This window comes from Homo sapiens, chromosome 3 (genome assembly GCF_000001405.40).
Source record: "Homo sapiens chromosome 3, GRCh38.p14 Primary Assembly".
Taxonomy (NCBI): domain Eukaryota; kingdom Metazoa; phylum Chordata; class Mammalia; order Primates; family Hominidae; genus Homo; species Homo sapiens.
In genome coordinates, this window is record NC_000003.12 from 9,460,586 (window position 1) to 9,478,839 (window position 18,254).

At 41.9% G+C, this 18,254-nt stretch overlaps 1 protein-coding gene across 50 annotated transcripts in view; it reads left to right on the plus strand.

Moving 5' to 3' along the window:
- Positions 1 to 17,569, plus strand: part of SETD5 (SET domain containing 5) — an 80,540-nt gene extending 62,971 nt beyond the window's left edge. For 23 of the 50 annotated variants that reach the window (XM_047448468.1, XM_047448473.1, XM_047448474.1 and 20 more), the window contains 7 exons: positions 3,840 to 4,087; positions 7,934 to 7,990; positions 9,874 to 10,344; positions 12,651 to 12,952; positions 13,864 to 13,997; positions 14,483 to 14,571; positions 14,898 to 17,569. In XM_047448468.1, coding sequence (XP_047304424.1) covers positions 3,840 to 4,087; positions 7,934 to 7,990; positions 9,874 to 10,344; positions 12,651 to 12,952; positions 13,864 to 13,997; positions 14,483 to 14,571; positions 14,898 to 15,506 — 1,910 coding nt within the window. In that variant the 3' untranslated portion in view covers positions 15,507 to 17,569. Of the gene's footprint in view, positions 1 to 3,839; positions 4,088 to 7,933; positions 7,991 to 9,182; positions 9,304 to 9,873; positions 10,345 to 12,650; positions 12,953 to 13,863; positions 13,998 to 14,482; positions 14,572 to 14,714 lie in introns of those variants that run through there. The other 27 variants (XM_047448482.1, XM_047448487.1, XM_047448496.1 and 24 more) reach the window with 6 other exon arrangements.

An 18,254-nucleotide genomic window follows, 5' to 3' on the forward strand; every position in this document is an offset into this window, starting at 1 on the left:
GGACAATAAGTGGAAAGAATAACATTCGGAAATAAACATTCAGAAGATAAGCCCAGTATATGTAAGAATCTAATAAGATAAATATATTTCAAATTAATAGGGAAATTATAGTTATTCTACATTTACAGAAGATTTTGGAAGAAGGTGCTGGCTATTTGTTATGGGGAAAGGATGGATTAATTGCTACCCCATATTTAAGTATGTTCTTTTTTCCTTTTTTGTAATGGCAGTTTGTCAGTGTGAAATAAAATGTTCTTTTTTAATTAAAATCTAAATTAAAAATTAAACATGGAGACAAAAGGAAAATAGGCTGGCATTTTTACAGTGTCAGGGTGGGTTAGCAAAGACATGATATCAGAAGCAGAAAATAAAGTGATCCGTTTGACTAAATAGAAACAAAACATATAGCAGAGACTTGTAAATAAAATTGAAGGCAATCAGTAAACTGGGAAAATACATTTGTAATTTTATTGACAAGGGGTCAACATTCTTACTATTTAAAGAGCCCTTACAGATGAAGAAAAAGACCCCAACACCTCAGTAGAATGCAGGCTGAAGAACATGAGCCAGCAGTTCTCACAGGACTAAATATAAACTACACATATATAGATATTCTTTTGATTTAATAATCCTACATGTAGCCATTTGTTCTAATAGCAAAAAATGAAAAAAAAGTTGGTTAAATTTTGATAATACTAATGTTGTGCAGTCATTAAACCTGAACTGTAGATTTCTATTCATTGTCATAAAATGTTGACCATGTATTTCTGAGTGAAAATAGTTACTGAGTAGTTTAGGTAAGGCAAGAGTCAGTGAAGCAATGTCTCGATAAAAATTTACCAGGATATTAGCATGCGTTTATTTGTGGATATGATTTTCAGGTTGTGTATGTGCTGTATAACCTTGGTAATTTTTTGAGTAAAGGTGAAAAATAATAATAATAAAAGATGGATAGATTTGACCACATAAAATTTGGAAACTATATATGCAGGAAAAAGAGAAAAAGTAGGCAAATGACTTGGCTTTCTTTGGCCTGTAAACTTCTTAAGGGCAGACATCAGGTCTCTTGTTGAATACAGTATCATAATAAGTACTCAGTAAATATATGTTGAATGAATGCCTTGTACATTGATTTGCACGTGGCAGATTTCACCTGTATCTTATAACTCCTTTCTACAACTAACTTCATCACTTAACATAATTGACTTTGATAGTTATAGTGTTGGACCTAGCAGTACAGAGATCTGTAAGATTCCATTGTTTAAGACCCTTGAAATATTAAATATATAAAAGTTATTCCGAATATAAGCCATGAATTACATGTTTGTTTCTGTTTTATACCTAGGCACTTTTTAAAAGGAGGAAAGAAAATTTAGTATCTGGAACAAAAGGAAGATGTGAATATACTTCCAATCTAGGAATATTAAAAATCCTGAGATATCAGAAAGGAAAAATATGCATCTTCAATAATTTTTTGCATTTATTCTTCCCTCTTCATCTAAACATCTCCTACCCTAGTTTAGTGCCTCATAATTCTTTGCTAACTACTGTGTTAACTCCAGATGGTTTCCCAGTTACTAGTCTCATACTGACCATTGCTTCCAGATAATCTTCCTGGCCCAAAAATTTTCCTTGAAGGCCTGGAATAAATGTCACTCCTTCCATCCACCAAGCCTTGGGGATATACTTTAACCTATTGATTAAGAATATAGATAGATGGAGCCAGGCGCGGTGGCTCACGCCTGTAATCCCAGCACTTTGGGAGGCCGAGGCGGGTGGATCACGAGGTCAAGAGATCAAGACCATCCTGGCCAACATGGTGAAACCCCGTCTCTACTAAAAATACAAAAAATTAGCCGGGTGTGGTAGCGAGCACCTGTAGTCCCAGCTACTCGGGAGGCTGAGGCAGGAGAATGGTGTGAACCTGGGAGGCGGACCTTGCAGTGAGCCGAGATCGTGCCGCTGCACTCCAGCCTAGGTGACAGAGCAAGAGTCCGTCTCAAAAAAAAAAAAAAAGAAAAAAAGAATATAGATAGATGGGGCCAGGCGTGGTGGCTCATGGCTGTAATCCCAACACTTTGGGAGGCTCAGGTGGGTGGATCACTTGAGGTCAGGAATTCAAGGCCAACATGGTGAAACCCTGTCTCTACTAAAAATACAAAAATTAAGAATGTAGATATATGGGAGCAAGAATACCTGTTTTGTCTCTCTCCACACATCAAGTTTCTCACCTTTAATATGGGGATGATAATAATAGTGCTTGATTTATAGAGTTGTTAAAATTAGATATTTCACAATAAAGCACATGGCATAGTCTGTGGTATATAATCATCATTTAGAAAATACAGCTTTTTTTTTTTTTTAACTAACACATAGCAATATGATCACCTTTCTTGATCATGCTAATACTAATGTGTTCACTTTTTTTGTTGTGTCGTTTTGTTTTGTTTTGAGACAGTCTCCTCCCTCTGTCACCCAGGCTAGAGTACAGTGGTGCAGTCTCAACTCGCTGCAACCTCTGCCTCCTGGGTTCAAGTGATTCTTGTGCCTCCACCTCCTGAGTAACTGGAACTGCAGGCATGCACCACCACTCCTGCTTAATCTTTTTTGTGTATTTAGTAGAGACAGGGTTTTGCCATATTGGCCAGGCTGGTCTCAAACTCCTGGCTTAAGTGATCTGCCTGCCTCAGCCTCCCAAAGTGCTGGGATTATAGGCATGAGCCACCACACCTGGCCCTGTTTCTATTTCTTACAAATTTTAAGCCTCTTGAAAATAGAATGTATGATGACCATTTTTCCCTTCATACCTAGTTCAGTAATCAGTAGGTATTAAATATATATACTTTTAACTGTAAATGAATAAAACTGTATTTTTATTCTGAGAATCAAGTGAGAAAGGTGCTTTGACCTAAATGGTCACTAAAATATTTAGTGTAGTGACTTGCTTTTTAAGTGGATCTAAGAAGTACAGAAAATAGGATTATTCTAGTCAAAAAGAATGTGAACCTAATTTTTTAATGGTTGGGAGAAGTTTTTGTAGAAATCATTTCATGCTTTTTAGGTAGAAAAGGGGCTAGACATGGATCAAGGAATCATATAAGAATAGAAAGAGCTTCTGAAAAGGGACACACATATATAAGAGATGGTGAAAGGAATTTGGATTTAGCATCCCAGTACCTTTAGTTGGTGATATAGCAGTTTAGTAGAGGGTAACTGTAACACAGTAACAAAGACTTTTCAGAAACTCAATGTAAAAGAAAGAACTGTAGCAGTGGCTCACGCCTGTAATCCCAACACTTGGGGCGTCTAAGGCGGGCAGATCACCTGAAGTCAGGAGTTGAAGACCAGCCTGGCAAACGTGGTGAAATGCCATCTCTACTAAAAATACAAAAATTAGCCAGGTGTAGTGGTGCATGCCTGTAATCCCAGCTACTCGGGAGGCTGAGGCAGGTGAATCACTTGAACCCGGGAGACGGAGGTTGCAGTGAGCTAAGTAAATGCCATTGCACTCCAGCCTTAGCGACAGAGCAAGGCTCTGTCTCATAAATAAATAAATGAATAAATGAAAGAATTTTATATTTTGCACTGGTAGAAATTAAATTAGAGATCAGTCACATTTGATTTACCTGGAGTTTGGGAGATAGAATGTTTTCAGAGTTATTTTAAGCATGGTAATTAAAGAGTTTCTTTGGGATTTTGGTTGGATTGGAGGAGATAACTTAATGGGATGAGGCAGAAAACAGTTAAGAGCCATTGTAGATTACAGATTAATGGCTTTACTGTAGAGCCTTAAATTAATCTGTGGTTTCAAACTCTCATCCAAGCTTTGTGTTTCACAGACTTGTTGAGCCCATTAAAGAAATGGAAGTCTCGCTATCTGATGGAGCAGAATGTCACCAAGTTACTTCGGCCTCTGTCTCCAGTCACACCACCCCCTCCCAATTCAGGCTCAAAGAGTCCCCAGCTGGCCACACCTGGCTCATCTCACCCAGGAGAAGAGGAGTGTCGAAATGGATACAGCCTCATGTTTTCACCAGTCACATCTCTTACTACTGCTAGTCGCTGCAACACTCCTCTACAGTTTGAGGTGATTTGGGTTTGGTTGCTGGGAGTGCTGGATATGAAAATCATCATTTGTACCTTCTCATTTCAAATATAATACCATTCCAAATGTTTCTTTACTATCTTTCTTCCCCATCTCAGTAAGAGAATGGGAAACCTCAGGGTCATTGTGGCCTGTTACCTGGTAGCCTCTCATCTTGGCAGCCCCTATGCTTCCCAAAATAGGCATACTGCTACCACAAATCCCATTCATGTATCTTTTGCATGCAGTCCATCAATCTCCATAAGTTTAGGTAGTAAGCATGCTAGATCTCCATCGTTATCTTTACTGTATACTTTGGTCAAAATAGGCCTCTAGCTGCCTGTAGTATCTGTTAGTAACACTAGCCTGAGAGCACAGATGATATTGATTGATTGTGTCTTCGTTTCTAGGCCTTTAAATAAGTGAAGTGTCTTTCCCAGGTTGTTTGGTATTTTCATTGTGGCCTTAGCAGAGATTTAGAAAACATTGGGGTATGGCTTATGGCGAATGTGGGTTTTTTCCACTCCAGGTTACTTTCCCTCTTTGTTATAATGTCTTAGGAATCAGAAGTAGACAAGAGGCTAGCAACATGTATTCATGAGACAAATTTATTACCTTCACTGTTGGATTAAGTTAGAAATGTCTGCCTCAGCTGTTTCAAAAAGTAATCTTGAATCACTTTAGTGTTCAGGTTTGGGTGACAGCAGGTTTCAATAGAATCCATGTATACTTTTTTAAAACACTTCATCTATTGCATGTTACTTTGATTTGTAATTAAAATGGACACTGTCTCTTTTTTCCTTCTCAGAAAAATTTGTTCTGACCACTAAACACACTCTGCTGCTCTGCCCCCTTGTTTGCACTTCTCCAGATGTGTTTTTTGAGAAAGGTGAACATTTTAACCAATCTTACGTTTCCTATTCAGCTTTTCCAAGTATGAGGATTCAGAATACTTAGCTTTTATGAGTAACTAAGAGGCAGCTAGCAACATTGAAAGCAGAACTGTATTCTTTCTTACCCTAGACCTCTACTTTTGGAGCAGACCTCTTTCTGGGTGAGGGAAAAAACCTCCTGGTTACATATCAGTTATCTAGGGAAATTACTCTTTACCAGATTATTTATGAAATTCTTTCAGCCAGATAATAAAGCAGCTGATTCAGGCCTTTCTAACTTGACTTTGTCTACTTGCAATTGACTTTGCAGTTTGCACCTAGAGCTTTATAGTAAGGTATCATGAGAGGAATTCTCCCTGGAGGGCATAAGATTATAGGAATAGAGTGTCATACTTTATCAATACAGGTTTTATTATAAATGTGGAATTATGAAAATTAGAAGGAGGCCGGGCGCAGTGGCTCACACCTATAATCCCATCACTTTGGGAGGCTGAGGCAGGCGGATCACGAGGTCAGTAGATCAAGACCATCCTGGCTAACGTGGTGAAACCCCGTCTCTACTAAAAATACAAAATATTAGCCGGGCGTGGTAGTGGGCGCCTGTAGTCCCAGCTACTCGGGAGGCTGAGGCAGGAGAATGGCGTGAACCCGGGAGGCGGAGCTTGCAGTGAGCCGAGATCGCGCCATTGCACTCCAGCCTGGGCAACAGAGCAAGACTCCGTCTCAAAAAAAAAAAAAAAAAAAAAAGAAAATCAGAAGGTAAGTCACTTTGCAAAACAAGCGGGTTCAGTACTCAGTGTGTTCCTTATCCCTTGTAGCATTTGGGATAACTATTAAACACTGCAAATATAAAGTGGTTTTGGTTTTGTTTTGTTTTGTTTTTTTTAATTGGTGATCATTTTAATAATACAGTCCATGCATAATGTTAGAATACCAGGAGGGAAGGAAAATATTAAATAGTAAAAGGTCCAAGGCATGGTTTCACTTGCAATTTAAGGAAATTTTACCTTTCTCATCAATAATAGAACAGATTTCACCACCCTGACCCATTCTAATCACCATTTTAATGGCCATACTCTTTGCTGTATTCTAGTACAGAGAGGTGGGGAGCCTTTTTTGTAGCAAAGGCTGTGACACATTGTGAAATATCAAAAAGGTGTCACGTATAAAGACCAGCTTAGGCTGGGCATGGTGGCTCACACCTGTAATCACAGTGCTTTGGAAGGCTGAGGCAGGAGGATTGCTTGAGGCCAGGGGTTTGAGACCAGCCTGGGTAACATCGTGAGACCACATTTCTGCAAAAATAAAATACAAAACTTAGCCAGGTGTAGTGGCATATACCTGTAGTCCCAGCTACTTGGGAGGCTGAAGCAGGAAGATCACTTAAGACCAGGAGTTTAAGACTGCAGTGAGCCATTATTGTGCCACTACATGCCAGCCTGGGCAACAGTGAGATCCCATCTCTAAAAATAATTTAAAGACCAGCTTAGGCCAGGTACAGTGGCACACACCTGTAATCCCAGCTACTCGGGAGGCCAAGGCAAAGGAATTGCTTGAGCCTGGGAGGTTGCAGGGAGCCAAGACTGCGCCACTGCATTCCACATTCCAGCCTGGGCAACAGAGGGAGACTCTCTCTCAAAAAAAAAAAAAAAAAAAAAAAAACAACCTTACTAGATTAGTTTGGGGAAGGATATTTTTGAGAAGGAAAAAAGCATTCAGGAAAATGGTGAGAAGTCTTAAGTGCTAAGGGGAAGAAGGTAAGAAGATAAACAGTGGAAGAGAACAAGATCTTCAGGAGGGGAAAGCATCTAGAAAGAAGAGTGGAAGCAACATTGGGAGGACAAGCTTAGTTAGCCTCTCCTTTCTACCAGAATAACCCTCCCCTCCTATTCTTGCCCTGAGAGCCATACTCCACCCGCCATTTCACACATACGTGCACCTAGATGTACACCACCCACTGTCCATGCCAAGTAAAATTCACAGCCAAAACCCTGCTTTGCTGAAGCAGCCTCATTTCCCCTACCTCAGCATGTGCCTGCCACCTAGGCCACAGTTATTCAGAGTCTACATTAGGCACCCTCTCCTTACCTCAGCCCTAGCACCCCTGAGTCATTGTCACACTACCACCTTCACTCTCTTCACGTGTTCCCATTTACATCTTTCCATTAAGCACTCACTGCTCAGTCTCTGTTATGGGACTGCTGCCTCACCTGAAAGTCCCAAGGTAAAGTCCTACCCTCTGTAGGATACAGGGACCTAAGTATACACATACATGCTTTTTCTGCTCTGTTGCCAAAAGTACAATGGATTTTACAAAATAACATTAATAGGGGTGGCTCAGGTCTAATTAGATTATGCCAAGAACCAACTCTAGCCTGTGAGCTAGGGATTCCATCAATCACATTTCCTGTAACTGTCATTCAAGAGGAACTGGCCATCTCCCTAACCATGTCAGCCCCCAGCACACTAATGTCTCCCCCTGGATAGCACTGGGAGGGCCTGAGGCATATAAGAGAATAAAGAAATGTGACAAGCAGAAGAGGCATTGGATGAAGGAACAAGGTCCATGTAAGGAGGAATAAGGGGTAGGGTGCCCCTCAATAACAAATACTGTAGGTTGCTAAACTCTCATCTAAAATACAAAGACGTATAACACTAAAATTTCACCAGTCTAACTCTTTCCTTGTATGTGCTTGAGATGTTTACTTACAGCATGAAACATTATAACCAATTTATCCTTAAATGCTTTCAGAGATACCAGGAAGCATTTTAACAAGTCATTCTGTCCATTGAGATGAGTTCTGCAGTTAAATATTTCCCCTATGCATTCTTATTCAACTTCCCCGCCCCCGAAAAAAGTTATGGCTAACATCTATGCTTGCTTTTATTTTTTGTTTTGTTTTGCTTCTTGACTTCGAGTAGATGAATAATAACAAGATGCTTTTCCCTCCTCTAGAACATATCCTCCCCTGAGAGTTCCCCTGCGCATAGGCCCGAGTCCCTGTCACCCGAGGTAGTTATCACACCATCTCAATCACACTTGGAGGCTGAGAGTGAGTGTTCATGAATGTGTTCCTGAGTGTGTGGGGAGGGCTGGGGATCTGAGTCAGTGGGGTGATGGGCTGGAGGGCGGCCACTCAGTCACAGTAAGTTGAATGAGTCTTCCTGTGTGACTGTGACTACACAGGACTGTCAATGTAGATGGAGGAAAATGAAGGTAGGAGCGTGTGTGTTTGTGTGTGTGTGTGTTGTGTGTGTGTTTGGTGGGGTTGGTTTTTGCCGTTTGGGGGAGGGGGTGGCTGGAGTTCTATTAAAGAATAGAATCTAGAAGTCAAGATGCTGATATGTGGTAGGAGCCTTGTTAAAGAAAGGCTAATAAATCAGGAAAGTTGAGTCAAAAGTTGTAAGAGCTGTTTTTTGAGTTGGGTGGTGACTTATGCCTTGTTCTAGGGTTAATCTAACAGCTCTGTAAACCAGATGTTTTGACCTTTGGTTGATAGATTGAGCAGCTTCTTCAGGAAGGGAAAGTCATTCTGTCTTTCAGCTTTCCTACATTTTCTCTGCAGCTCCTTACTGGGTGCACAAGGAAACCAAGTGAGTCCCTGGCTTTCTGTCACAGGCCACCATTCTGCAATGGTTAGGATATGGTTGCTATACAAGTGTTATCTCTTTAGGATATCAGTAGAGTGGTTTTCTCACAAACCCTACTGCTGTGGATATGTCAAACTCAGATTTTAGTGCTAGAGTTTCTATTATAAGCTTTCAGATTTAGTAACATTAACTCTGAATCTATTAATACATGGGACCTTTTTTCTCTTGAAGAGAAAGTTAGAGTCTCTCAGAAATAGTCAACTGAACTTTAACCCTATCCCCTTCCAATAAAAAATTAGGGCATAATTCAGTGACAGTCTACTAAGTTCTGAATCAGTAGTAGTTCACAGGTTAATATGAAACTGAAAAAGGTTTTATTCCACTAGTATATTAGAGATTTTCTTGGTGTTTTGACTCTAGCTTGTTAGGAAAGTAAAGCTCTCTCTCCTCAGTTGTTAAAGATTCTAAGATAACGTAATTTGAAGACTGATATGGTATGGTATCTGGTTTTCTGGTACCATTCTTTGTCGGTTAGCTGTAGTTGACCTAGTGTTGGAAGTTTGGAGGTTATGATAACCAAATAGTAGGTGGGGTTTATTTTTGGTACATTTCAGCATTTCAGAATCTGCAGTGATGAGCATTAGTGGTCTTGTGGTATGTTGACGTACATTAGAGGATAAAGAAGAATTGAGTGGCCAGAAAGTTGTATGAGAAACACAGCTTCTTTAACAGTGAAAGTGAGTGAAGAACTGGTTGGTTGATGTCTTTAATGCCATCCTCCTTTACTGAACCAGTAACTTAAGTACTTGCCTTTCCGTCTACCTTCTCCTTCCTCCACCTTTTTCCCTTCCCCCCACCTTCCATCAATATTAATTTAGAAATTGATAACCCCGGAAGCCAGTTATCTTAAGACACCAGTCTCATCTTTGTTTTGTGCATGGGGCTAAGGTAAATTCCTAATTATACCACTTGTCCCTTAGTGTAGTACAAGGTGACTCAGCAACCTGATGAAAGGCTAAGCAGGCAAAATAGTCACATTTAGCCAATTACCTAATTCTAACTTTCCCAGTATTTCCCATCCAGAAAGACTTGAAAGCAATTTTGGAAAGGCCAGGATTCTTTAGTACTCTGGCCCATGTACACTGTTGCTACGTGGGACTTTTACAGAATATAATGGCTTTATCTGCTCTACTTCCGTCCCTCTTATCTTTCCCTGTTCACCTGTGTCCCTCTCCCCTCCTTTCTGCCCTTTGACTTTTTCCTTTCTCCCCTACCCCATGTCTCCGTTGATTTTTATTCTTTCAGCTTTGTCACCGAAAAGACCTGGATTTGGCAAAAGTAGGATACCTTGACTCCAACACTAACAGCTGTGCTGATAGACCTTCCCTACTCAACTCAGGTCATTCTGACCTGGCTCCTCATCCCTCCCTCGGACCCACTTCTGAGACTGGTTTCCCAAGCAGAAGTGGAGATGGACATCAGACCCTCGTGAGAAACTCAGACCAGGCATTTCGGACAGAGTTCAACTTGATGTATGCCTACTCCCCTTTGAATGCTATGCCTCGAGCAGATGGACTGTATCGAGGATCTCCTCTAGTGGGGGATAGGAAGCCTTTACATTTGGATGGGGGATATTGTTCCCCTGCAGAAGGATTTTCCAGCAGATATGAACATGGCTTAATGAAAGACCTCTCTCGTGGATCCTTGTCACCTGGTGGTGAAAGGGCCTGTGAAGGAGTCCCATCTGCCCCCCAGAACCCACCACAGAGGAAAAAAGTAAGTGTTTCATGTTATATCGGCGAACTTTTCAAGAATGTTAACCAAGTAGTTTAGTAGATATTCATAAGTTTCTGCTATGTGTTCCGCACTACTCTCAGACAAGTGAGACATAGTCTCTGCCAAATCCAGTGAAAGACAGGCTGTTTTAGTACAACTTGGTGAATGTTGTAAATATTCAGCAAATGTAAATGCCTGTATGTGCCATATACTTGCTAGGCAATTGAGAGGTTAGAACAGTGAAAAAGAAATTTTACCTATTATTTAGTGTGTCCCAAGTTCGAGGCACTGTATTAAGCTCTTTAAATGTGTTTTATCCTCACAGTAAGCCTATAAGATAGGCAATTTTCTATTTTGCACATGAGGAAACTAAGGCAAGTTGAGTAACTTTCCCGTGGTCACACAGCTAGTAAATGGAAGGACCAGGATACTACCCAGTTTGAGAGAGAAGGCTGGAGTGAGAGGCAGCAGGTTACTGATTTAACTGAATCTCAAACAATAAGTAGGAGTCAGCCAACCAACAATTGAGGGTGAGGTATGTTACAGTAGAGGGAGTAGAACAGGTAATTAGGTGGCACTCCATTGGCCAGGCAGCAGGCATGCAGTATGGTGCAAACAGTTGGATGTTGTTGTATCAGGTGGAAGGCCGGGGGAGCCAGGAGGAAAGTGCAGAGAGTGCTGGGCTGGGCCAGGCCATAGAGAGCTTGCTAATGGGTTGGGACTCCACTTCCAAGTAATGCCTGATCAAGAAGTCACAAAGCCAAAAATATGCTTTTGTATAAGTGGTTCTCAACTAGGGGTGTTTGAGAATGAGTAGGAGTGTTTTGAATTGTCCCAGTGACTTGCATTTATTGAGCAGGGCCAGGGATGCTGAATGTCCTGTATAGGGGACAGTCCCATGTAATGGCCAAACATCTGTAGTATCCTCATTGAAATGAAACCTAGTGGTTTTTTTATATTTTCATTATAATGATATTACCAGAATTTATTAACTTCTTTCCAAAATTATTTCTAGAAAATGCATATGCAAAACTGTCTATATTTTTGTTCCATTTGGACAGAAAAATGAGAACCCTAAGGGGATAGAAGGAGGAGGAAACATTGGCAGATAATTTGGATTAAGATAATAATTGATTTCGAAGATTGTTGCGTGAACAGCATTGACTACCAGAAACAAACATGAAAACAATCTTTGGATTTCTGGTTTTATAATATTTACTATGTGCAAAAGTCATAGAAATTATGATATTTTATTTCAGAAACACTTCTGAAATTTATTGGGCACATTTAAGCATAAATTTAAGCATATGCCAAATTCTGTGCTGGATGTTAAAGATAAAAAGCCAGATAAACTTGGCCTTTGCCTTCCTAGAACTTATAGTTTAGTCAGGGAGCAATCAAGGCATGGTAATAGGTTCTACGGCCTGTGTAAGCAATGTGCCAGAACAACAAAGAGAAGGTGTACTAGGCAGGGCACGGATTATGGTGGGCAGGGTGGGATGGGAGGTCTGCTGTCAGGAAAGAATGAGCAAGCATTAGGGAGATGAAGGGGAAGTTAGGGAGAAGTTACCAAGTTGTTTTCTAGAGCTAGCTTGCTAAAATTATAAACTGGAAATAATAATTTCCTCTCTTTTTACATTAATTACATCTATGTGTAAGACAGAAACAGTAATAAATTCCTATTTATATCTTGAAAATTTGAACATATTTAAGTATCCTGGAGCATTGGGTTTTTCTTCTGTTTTGTTTTGTTTTTCCTTCTCTCTCTCCCTCTCTCTCTCCACCTACCTCTCCCCACCTCCCTCTCCTCCATCTCCTTCTCCTCTCCCTGCTTCTTTCTCTCAAACAGCTAACTCTAGGGGTTCCCAAGGAGTACAGAACAGCCATCAGTCACCTGGGAGGCTTTTTAAACTATACAAGCTTCCAATTCTCCCTTCTCTAGGTACTTCCATTGTTGCAAATAACTGTGATAGCATGCTTCTGTTACTGTGTAATGGTAACCTCACAAGTTTTTCTGAAGGCAGAAAAAAAGATGGTGGTCTAATTGGCAAACATTCTTTAGAGACTTGCCTCCTAGTTTATTATCTTCCTCTTACCAATTTCCAGCTGCCTTAAATATGTAGCTGTGCTCAGATCTCTTTCATACTCCCCAAAAAAAGTTATCAGGGTTGGTGTCTGCTTTGTTTGCGTGGCTTGGCTAGTGGTTTACTAAGGTACCATCTTTCCTTCTTTCCCTGTTGCTGGTGATCCACTAATGATATCCAGATAGAGTACCGTTTTTTGTTTGTTTGTTTTTTCCTTTCTAGGTATCCCTGCTGGAGTACCGAAAACGGAAACAAGAAGCTAAGGAAAATTCTGCTGGTGGGGGAGGTGACTCTGCACAGAGCAAAAGCAAGTCTGCAGGAGCTGGGCAAGGCAGCAGTAACTCCGTTTCCGACACTGGTGCCCATGGTGTGCAGGGATCCTCAGCCCGAACTCCATCTTCCCCTCACAAAAAATTCTCCCCATCTCATTCCTCTATGTCCCATTTGGAGGCGGTAAGCCCATCAGATTCCAGAGGCACTTCTTCATCTCACTGCAGACCTCAAGAGAATATCAGCAGTAGGTGGTAAGTTTATATTTGATGTTTTATAGTTAAATTGGGGGTGGGGGGGAGTATATATCTAAGATCATTCCCAGTTTTACCTAAAATCTATGGGAACACTTGATGGGAACATCTGAGACAGCCAGCCAACAGTACCATCTGTCCTGTTCAGCTGATTTAATAATGTCAGCTGCAACCCCCCAGCTTTGCAGAATTAAGAATTACCAACATGCCTGTGGAGCAGTGCTTTGGATGACATGTAGTTATGGATGCAGATGAGCTCTTTCATTTGGTGGGCACTAACACTGCCTTTCCTATTTCTCATTTCACATGAAAGGTGAGTCAAGAATCCAGCCAAGTTCCACATGAATTAACAACAGATGTCTCTCTTCCACACAGCTAGCATATACAGAGCAAAAAGACATTCTGAAAGGATTTGTCTGGTTTAGGGGAGACCACAAATTTAAAAATGAATAATACTGGTGGCAAATACTGAGGATCAAATGTGTGAAATAGAGAATGAAGCACAGGAGTTCAGGGATCTTGAACTGAAAAAAATAAGTCTGGGAAAGAACAGTCCTGGCTCAAATGTTTCATGTTCATTAATCTATGAAACCTTTATTAAACCAGTACTGTGTATCAGGCACATGATTTCCTAAAGGAGAAATTTTAACATTTTAAATGGGGGTTAAGGGAAGTTAACATCTTTAACCCACTTTTTCCTTGATTTCTTTTTCTTTAAAAGTGGTTGTTGTTGATGTTTCTCTTTTGTGCCTGACATAGTTGGAGGCAGAGGAAATACGTTGTTTTAAATTGGTTCTGAAGAAAGTAATGTTTAAGAGGATGTTTTAAGAAAATACACTGTGCACTGGTTAGGGCTTCATTTGTTTTGGTTAAGTCCTGTGGCTTGAACTTGCACCCTGTTGCCTTTACAGGATGGTTCCCACATCAGTAGAACGACTCCGAGAAGGAGGGAGCATCCCCAAGGTCCTCCGAAGCAGCGTGAGGGTGGCCCAAAAGGGAGAGCCCTCTCCCACATGGGAGAGTAACATCACAGAGAAAGACTCAGGTGAGCCCATGGCCTTCTGCTGCCACCACATTCAGGGACACATGAGCCGAGTCCTGTACAGTTCATGCCTAGTGCTGAGTTGAGGTGAGTCAGTTTCTGATGCAGTTGGGCTCCACCGCATGCTAGGTTCCAGCCCACTTATGCTCATTTGGGCTACCACATTTGTAAGATCTAGCATTGCTTGCTCTCTGTCTGCTCTTTTTTCCCCAAGGAATACCTTTCTGTAACTCTCATCTCTCCAAAGTCCTGGAAATCTACCTCGATGAAGGATGAAGAGAAAGAAGACGGGAATCACATCAGGCATTTAGAACATAGCCCATAATTAACCACTCATTTTGCCCTTCTGGCATGCTGCACTCACCCAATTTGTCACAAAGAGAGCAGTACGGGTTGGTGATGGCACTGGTGATTTAAATGAAAAATGGCTCTTTCTTACTTATTCTAAGAAGCCAAGTTGATTTTTTTTTATATATGTTACCTTCCAGACCCTGCAGATGGAGAAGGCCCAGAGACATTAAGCTCAGCACTCTCTAAAGGAGCAACAGTTTACAGCCCTTCCAGATACAGCTACCAGGTGAGATGAGAAATTGCTGGTCTCTAGCCATAGGAGTGTGTTCTGGGTCCCAAATTGTCCTGGTCATCCTTTGCCATTGAGATGCTGTCTTTGCATATAGTTTCAGCAGCCTTGGAAATAAGTCATCATCTGCTTGTCCTCAGGTAATAAATTATGCCAGAAGATGAATACGGTGATCAAAGACAGACATTTTACTGCCTTTGGTTTCCTAAAAAGAATACATGGTTAAAAGATGAAGAAAAAAGAATGTAGGGTATTATAAATGTTCACCAGCCATTTAAGGGACTTGTTCGCGTCCTTATTCGTTTCCTCCCAACTTTGTCTAGCTCCTGCAGTGTGATAGTCCTCGGACAGAATCACAAAGCCTCCTTCAGCAGAGTTCCTCCCCCTTCAGAGGACATCCTACACAGTCTCCAGGATACAGTTATCGAACTACTGCACTGAGACCTGGAAACCCCCCCTCTCACGGTTCTTCAGAATCATCCCTCTCTTCCACGTCCTATTCCAGCCCCGCCCACCCTGTGTCCACAGACTCGTTGGCCCCATTTACGGGGACACCAGGGTATTTTAGCAGCCAGCCACATTCTGGAAACAGCACTGGCAGCAATCTTCCAAGGAGGAGCTGCCCTTCTAGTGCTGCTAGCCCTACCCTGCAGGGACCCTCAGACTCGCCAACCTCAGATTCAGTTTCTCAGTCCAGCACAGGAACTCTGAGTTCCACCTCCTTTCCTCAGAACTCTAGGTCGTCATTGCCATCAGACTTACGGACTATCAGTCTGCCCAGTGCTGGGCAGTCAGCTGTCTACCAGGCCTCCAGGGTATCTGCGGTTTCCAATTCACAGCACTACCCACACCGTGGGAGTGGGGGTGTGCACCAGTACCGACTCCAGCCACTGCAAGGGTCAGGAGTCAAGACTCAGACGGGACTTTCCTAGGGCTTCTGGATTTGGGCAAACAGAACTGAATGAGCCCATAGCTGCTTCCTTCCAGCTGCCTCTGGAACCTAGGCCGAGCATATTGCTGAGGAACGGGGGGTACAAGGTGCCAGAGGATTGGGTCTGGTGGACAAGAAACAAGACTTGTGGTCACAATTGGCCTCTGGCCTTGGAGAAAGCTGTAAATCTTGTCTGAAGCAGAGACTATAAAGAAGTTTCTCCCTGCTGTCAAGGGTACATTGTTGACAAGCAAATGGTGTTTCGGTTAGTAACGGTTCTAAGTGCAATGAGTTGTGTTGAAGCCTCCGTCTCCCATCCTTGCCTGTAGCCCGTAGTCACTTGTGCAGTGAGGACATCTTTTTAAATTTAAAAAAAAAAAAAAAAAAAGTTTTCAAAGGAAAAAAAGTTAAAAGAGCCAATCTCAAAGCCCCAAGCCATCTGAGTACTGTTAGGGTTTTATGCACTTAAGAAAAAAGGTAGGTATGTAAATGTTCATCCTAAGACAACCATTCCAAAAGCAGGTATCTGGCCAATGTGTGTCCACCAAGAATACTGTTTATCTTTGTCTTAAGATCACCAAGAAATAGGCAAGGATAGTAAAGCTTGGAACCTGCACCAACTGGAGGGTGCCTGGCTCTTTGAAGAAAAGCTCATGGTCAGCTCTTGATTATTCGGGAGCAGATTATTTGAGTAGATTGTCTGAGCCTCCAACTGTTACCATCCTACTCCCCCTTCCCAAGCTATTTCACAGCTCAGTAACCCATGAAGTAAGTAGACAAGAAAAGGAGGAATGAGACATGATATAGGCCAATTGCATTGCTACTTACCAGCTTTTGGCAATAAATTTCATTAGGAAGGATACCGAGTGGTTTGGGAATGCTTCGAATTTTATTTTTTCTACTCCCAATTAATCAGGAGTTGATGATCCCATGAGCAGGACCGCCTCCATGATTGGGGAGCATGCACTTGTGACTGCAGGGTAAGAGTGGGAAGATAGGTTTGTGGAGTGGCACCGACAGGACTGTGATTGTGTGTGGGCCTGCCCCACATTTCTCTGGGGGATGCTTATGTGAGAGTGGGCCCAGTGAAAGAGTTACCAAGCCACCCACACCCCTAACACTGTTCTGGATGAGAGATGAGAGCAGACCGGCTTCTCCCCATCAGTGCATTGTGCCTGTTGTACACCCCTGGAGGAGCCCTGGAGCCAGCCCAGGTGGGGTACACAATCTTTTTAAATTCCATATGGTTGCCAGCTTATTTCTTTCACTTGTTTACTGTAATATCTGGCGTGTTTTTATTTATCTAATTTTGTATTCAGTTATAACCATGGTAGGGGTAGTGAATATATGACAGGTGTAATCCCTGGTGCTGCAGTGGACCTTCTTTTCTTTTGGACAAGATAATACTGTGAGTTTCCCTCCTTCCTTCCCTCTAATTTGTTTTCCTTTTTTCCCCAGCCTCTTGCATCCCCTTCTTTTCTACCCTGTCCTACAACTATCATATGCACAGTCTTCTCTCTTTGTGTGTGACTGTTACAAAATTTCACTTTTCAAAATCGAAATCAGGTGTTTGCTCAAATGAGGGGAGATTTTTTTTTTTTTTTTTTTTTTAAATGCTGAGACCTCAGCAGAGTACTTTTCTTTTTGTTGTTTCCCCCACAAACCCATCAGTCTGGGAGAGCATTGGGAGTGGAAATCATGTTGCCTGGGATGCTGGTTTCTTTGTATATTATATAAAACGTATGTAAATGTCTCTCCATTTGGGCTGGGGTTTGCATTCTCCCCTTGGCTATTTAACCAAGGGGAGAGGCCAGCGGGCAGGCGGCCCTCACCCTGCCTGGCACGTGCAGAGACCCCAGCCACTCTGTGTGGGCAGGGTGCTGTCAAGACCAGACCTCTTGGGGGGGTAGGGGCGGGGGGGTGGGGGGAACTCTTGGAAGGGAAGAAGTATCACTTCTTTCTCAAGTGGAGTGTTTACACCTTGCTGTAACATTTGAACTTTCACAAGAGATGTAATAATTTTGATAATAAAATTCTTAACCATAATAATCATAAAGTTGAGAACTTCTTTGTCCAATTTTGTGGCCCTGCCTTGCCTGGTTTTCCTAATGCCATTTTTATCTGAGGAGAATGTGCCCTTGGTGGAGTTGTTTTGCCCATGATAATGGGGCCAGGAATACTGTCTGATCTTCCTTCGCTTTTTATGATTGCAGTCAGGACAGTGTGAAGGCAAACCTGCAGCAGGGCAAGTGAACATTAAAAACTGCCTTGAACTTGAGTGGTGTTCCTGACCTTGGCCTCATTCATTCAGCAACTATTTATTGGTCTTTTTCATTCAAAAACAATGCTGGACATTGTTTTTGGTGCTGGGCTTATGGTGATTAGAATGCTGATTGGGGGTGGGCAAAGTAAGGTCTCTTCTTTCATGGAGTTTACATTCTAGTGGAGGAGAGAACTAAACTAGTATATAATTTTAAATAGTCATTGCCATGTTAATTGTTTCATAGCAGATATGTGACTAAGACAGTTGAAGGAGCCACTCTAGATTGGTTGGTCAAGAAAAGTCTCTGAGGAGTTGACATTTAAACTGAGACTTCAGTGACAAGGAGGCAGTCCTGGGACGATGTGAGTGAAATTCATTCTTGAACGTTGCAGACTCTGTGGTAGAAAAAGCTTGGTTAAGATGTAATAAATGGATGGGGCTGGGAAAGAGGATAGAAGATCCTGTAAGAGGGAGATAGGGGACAGA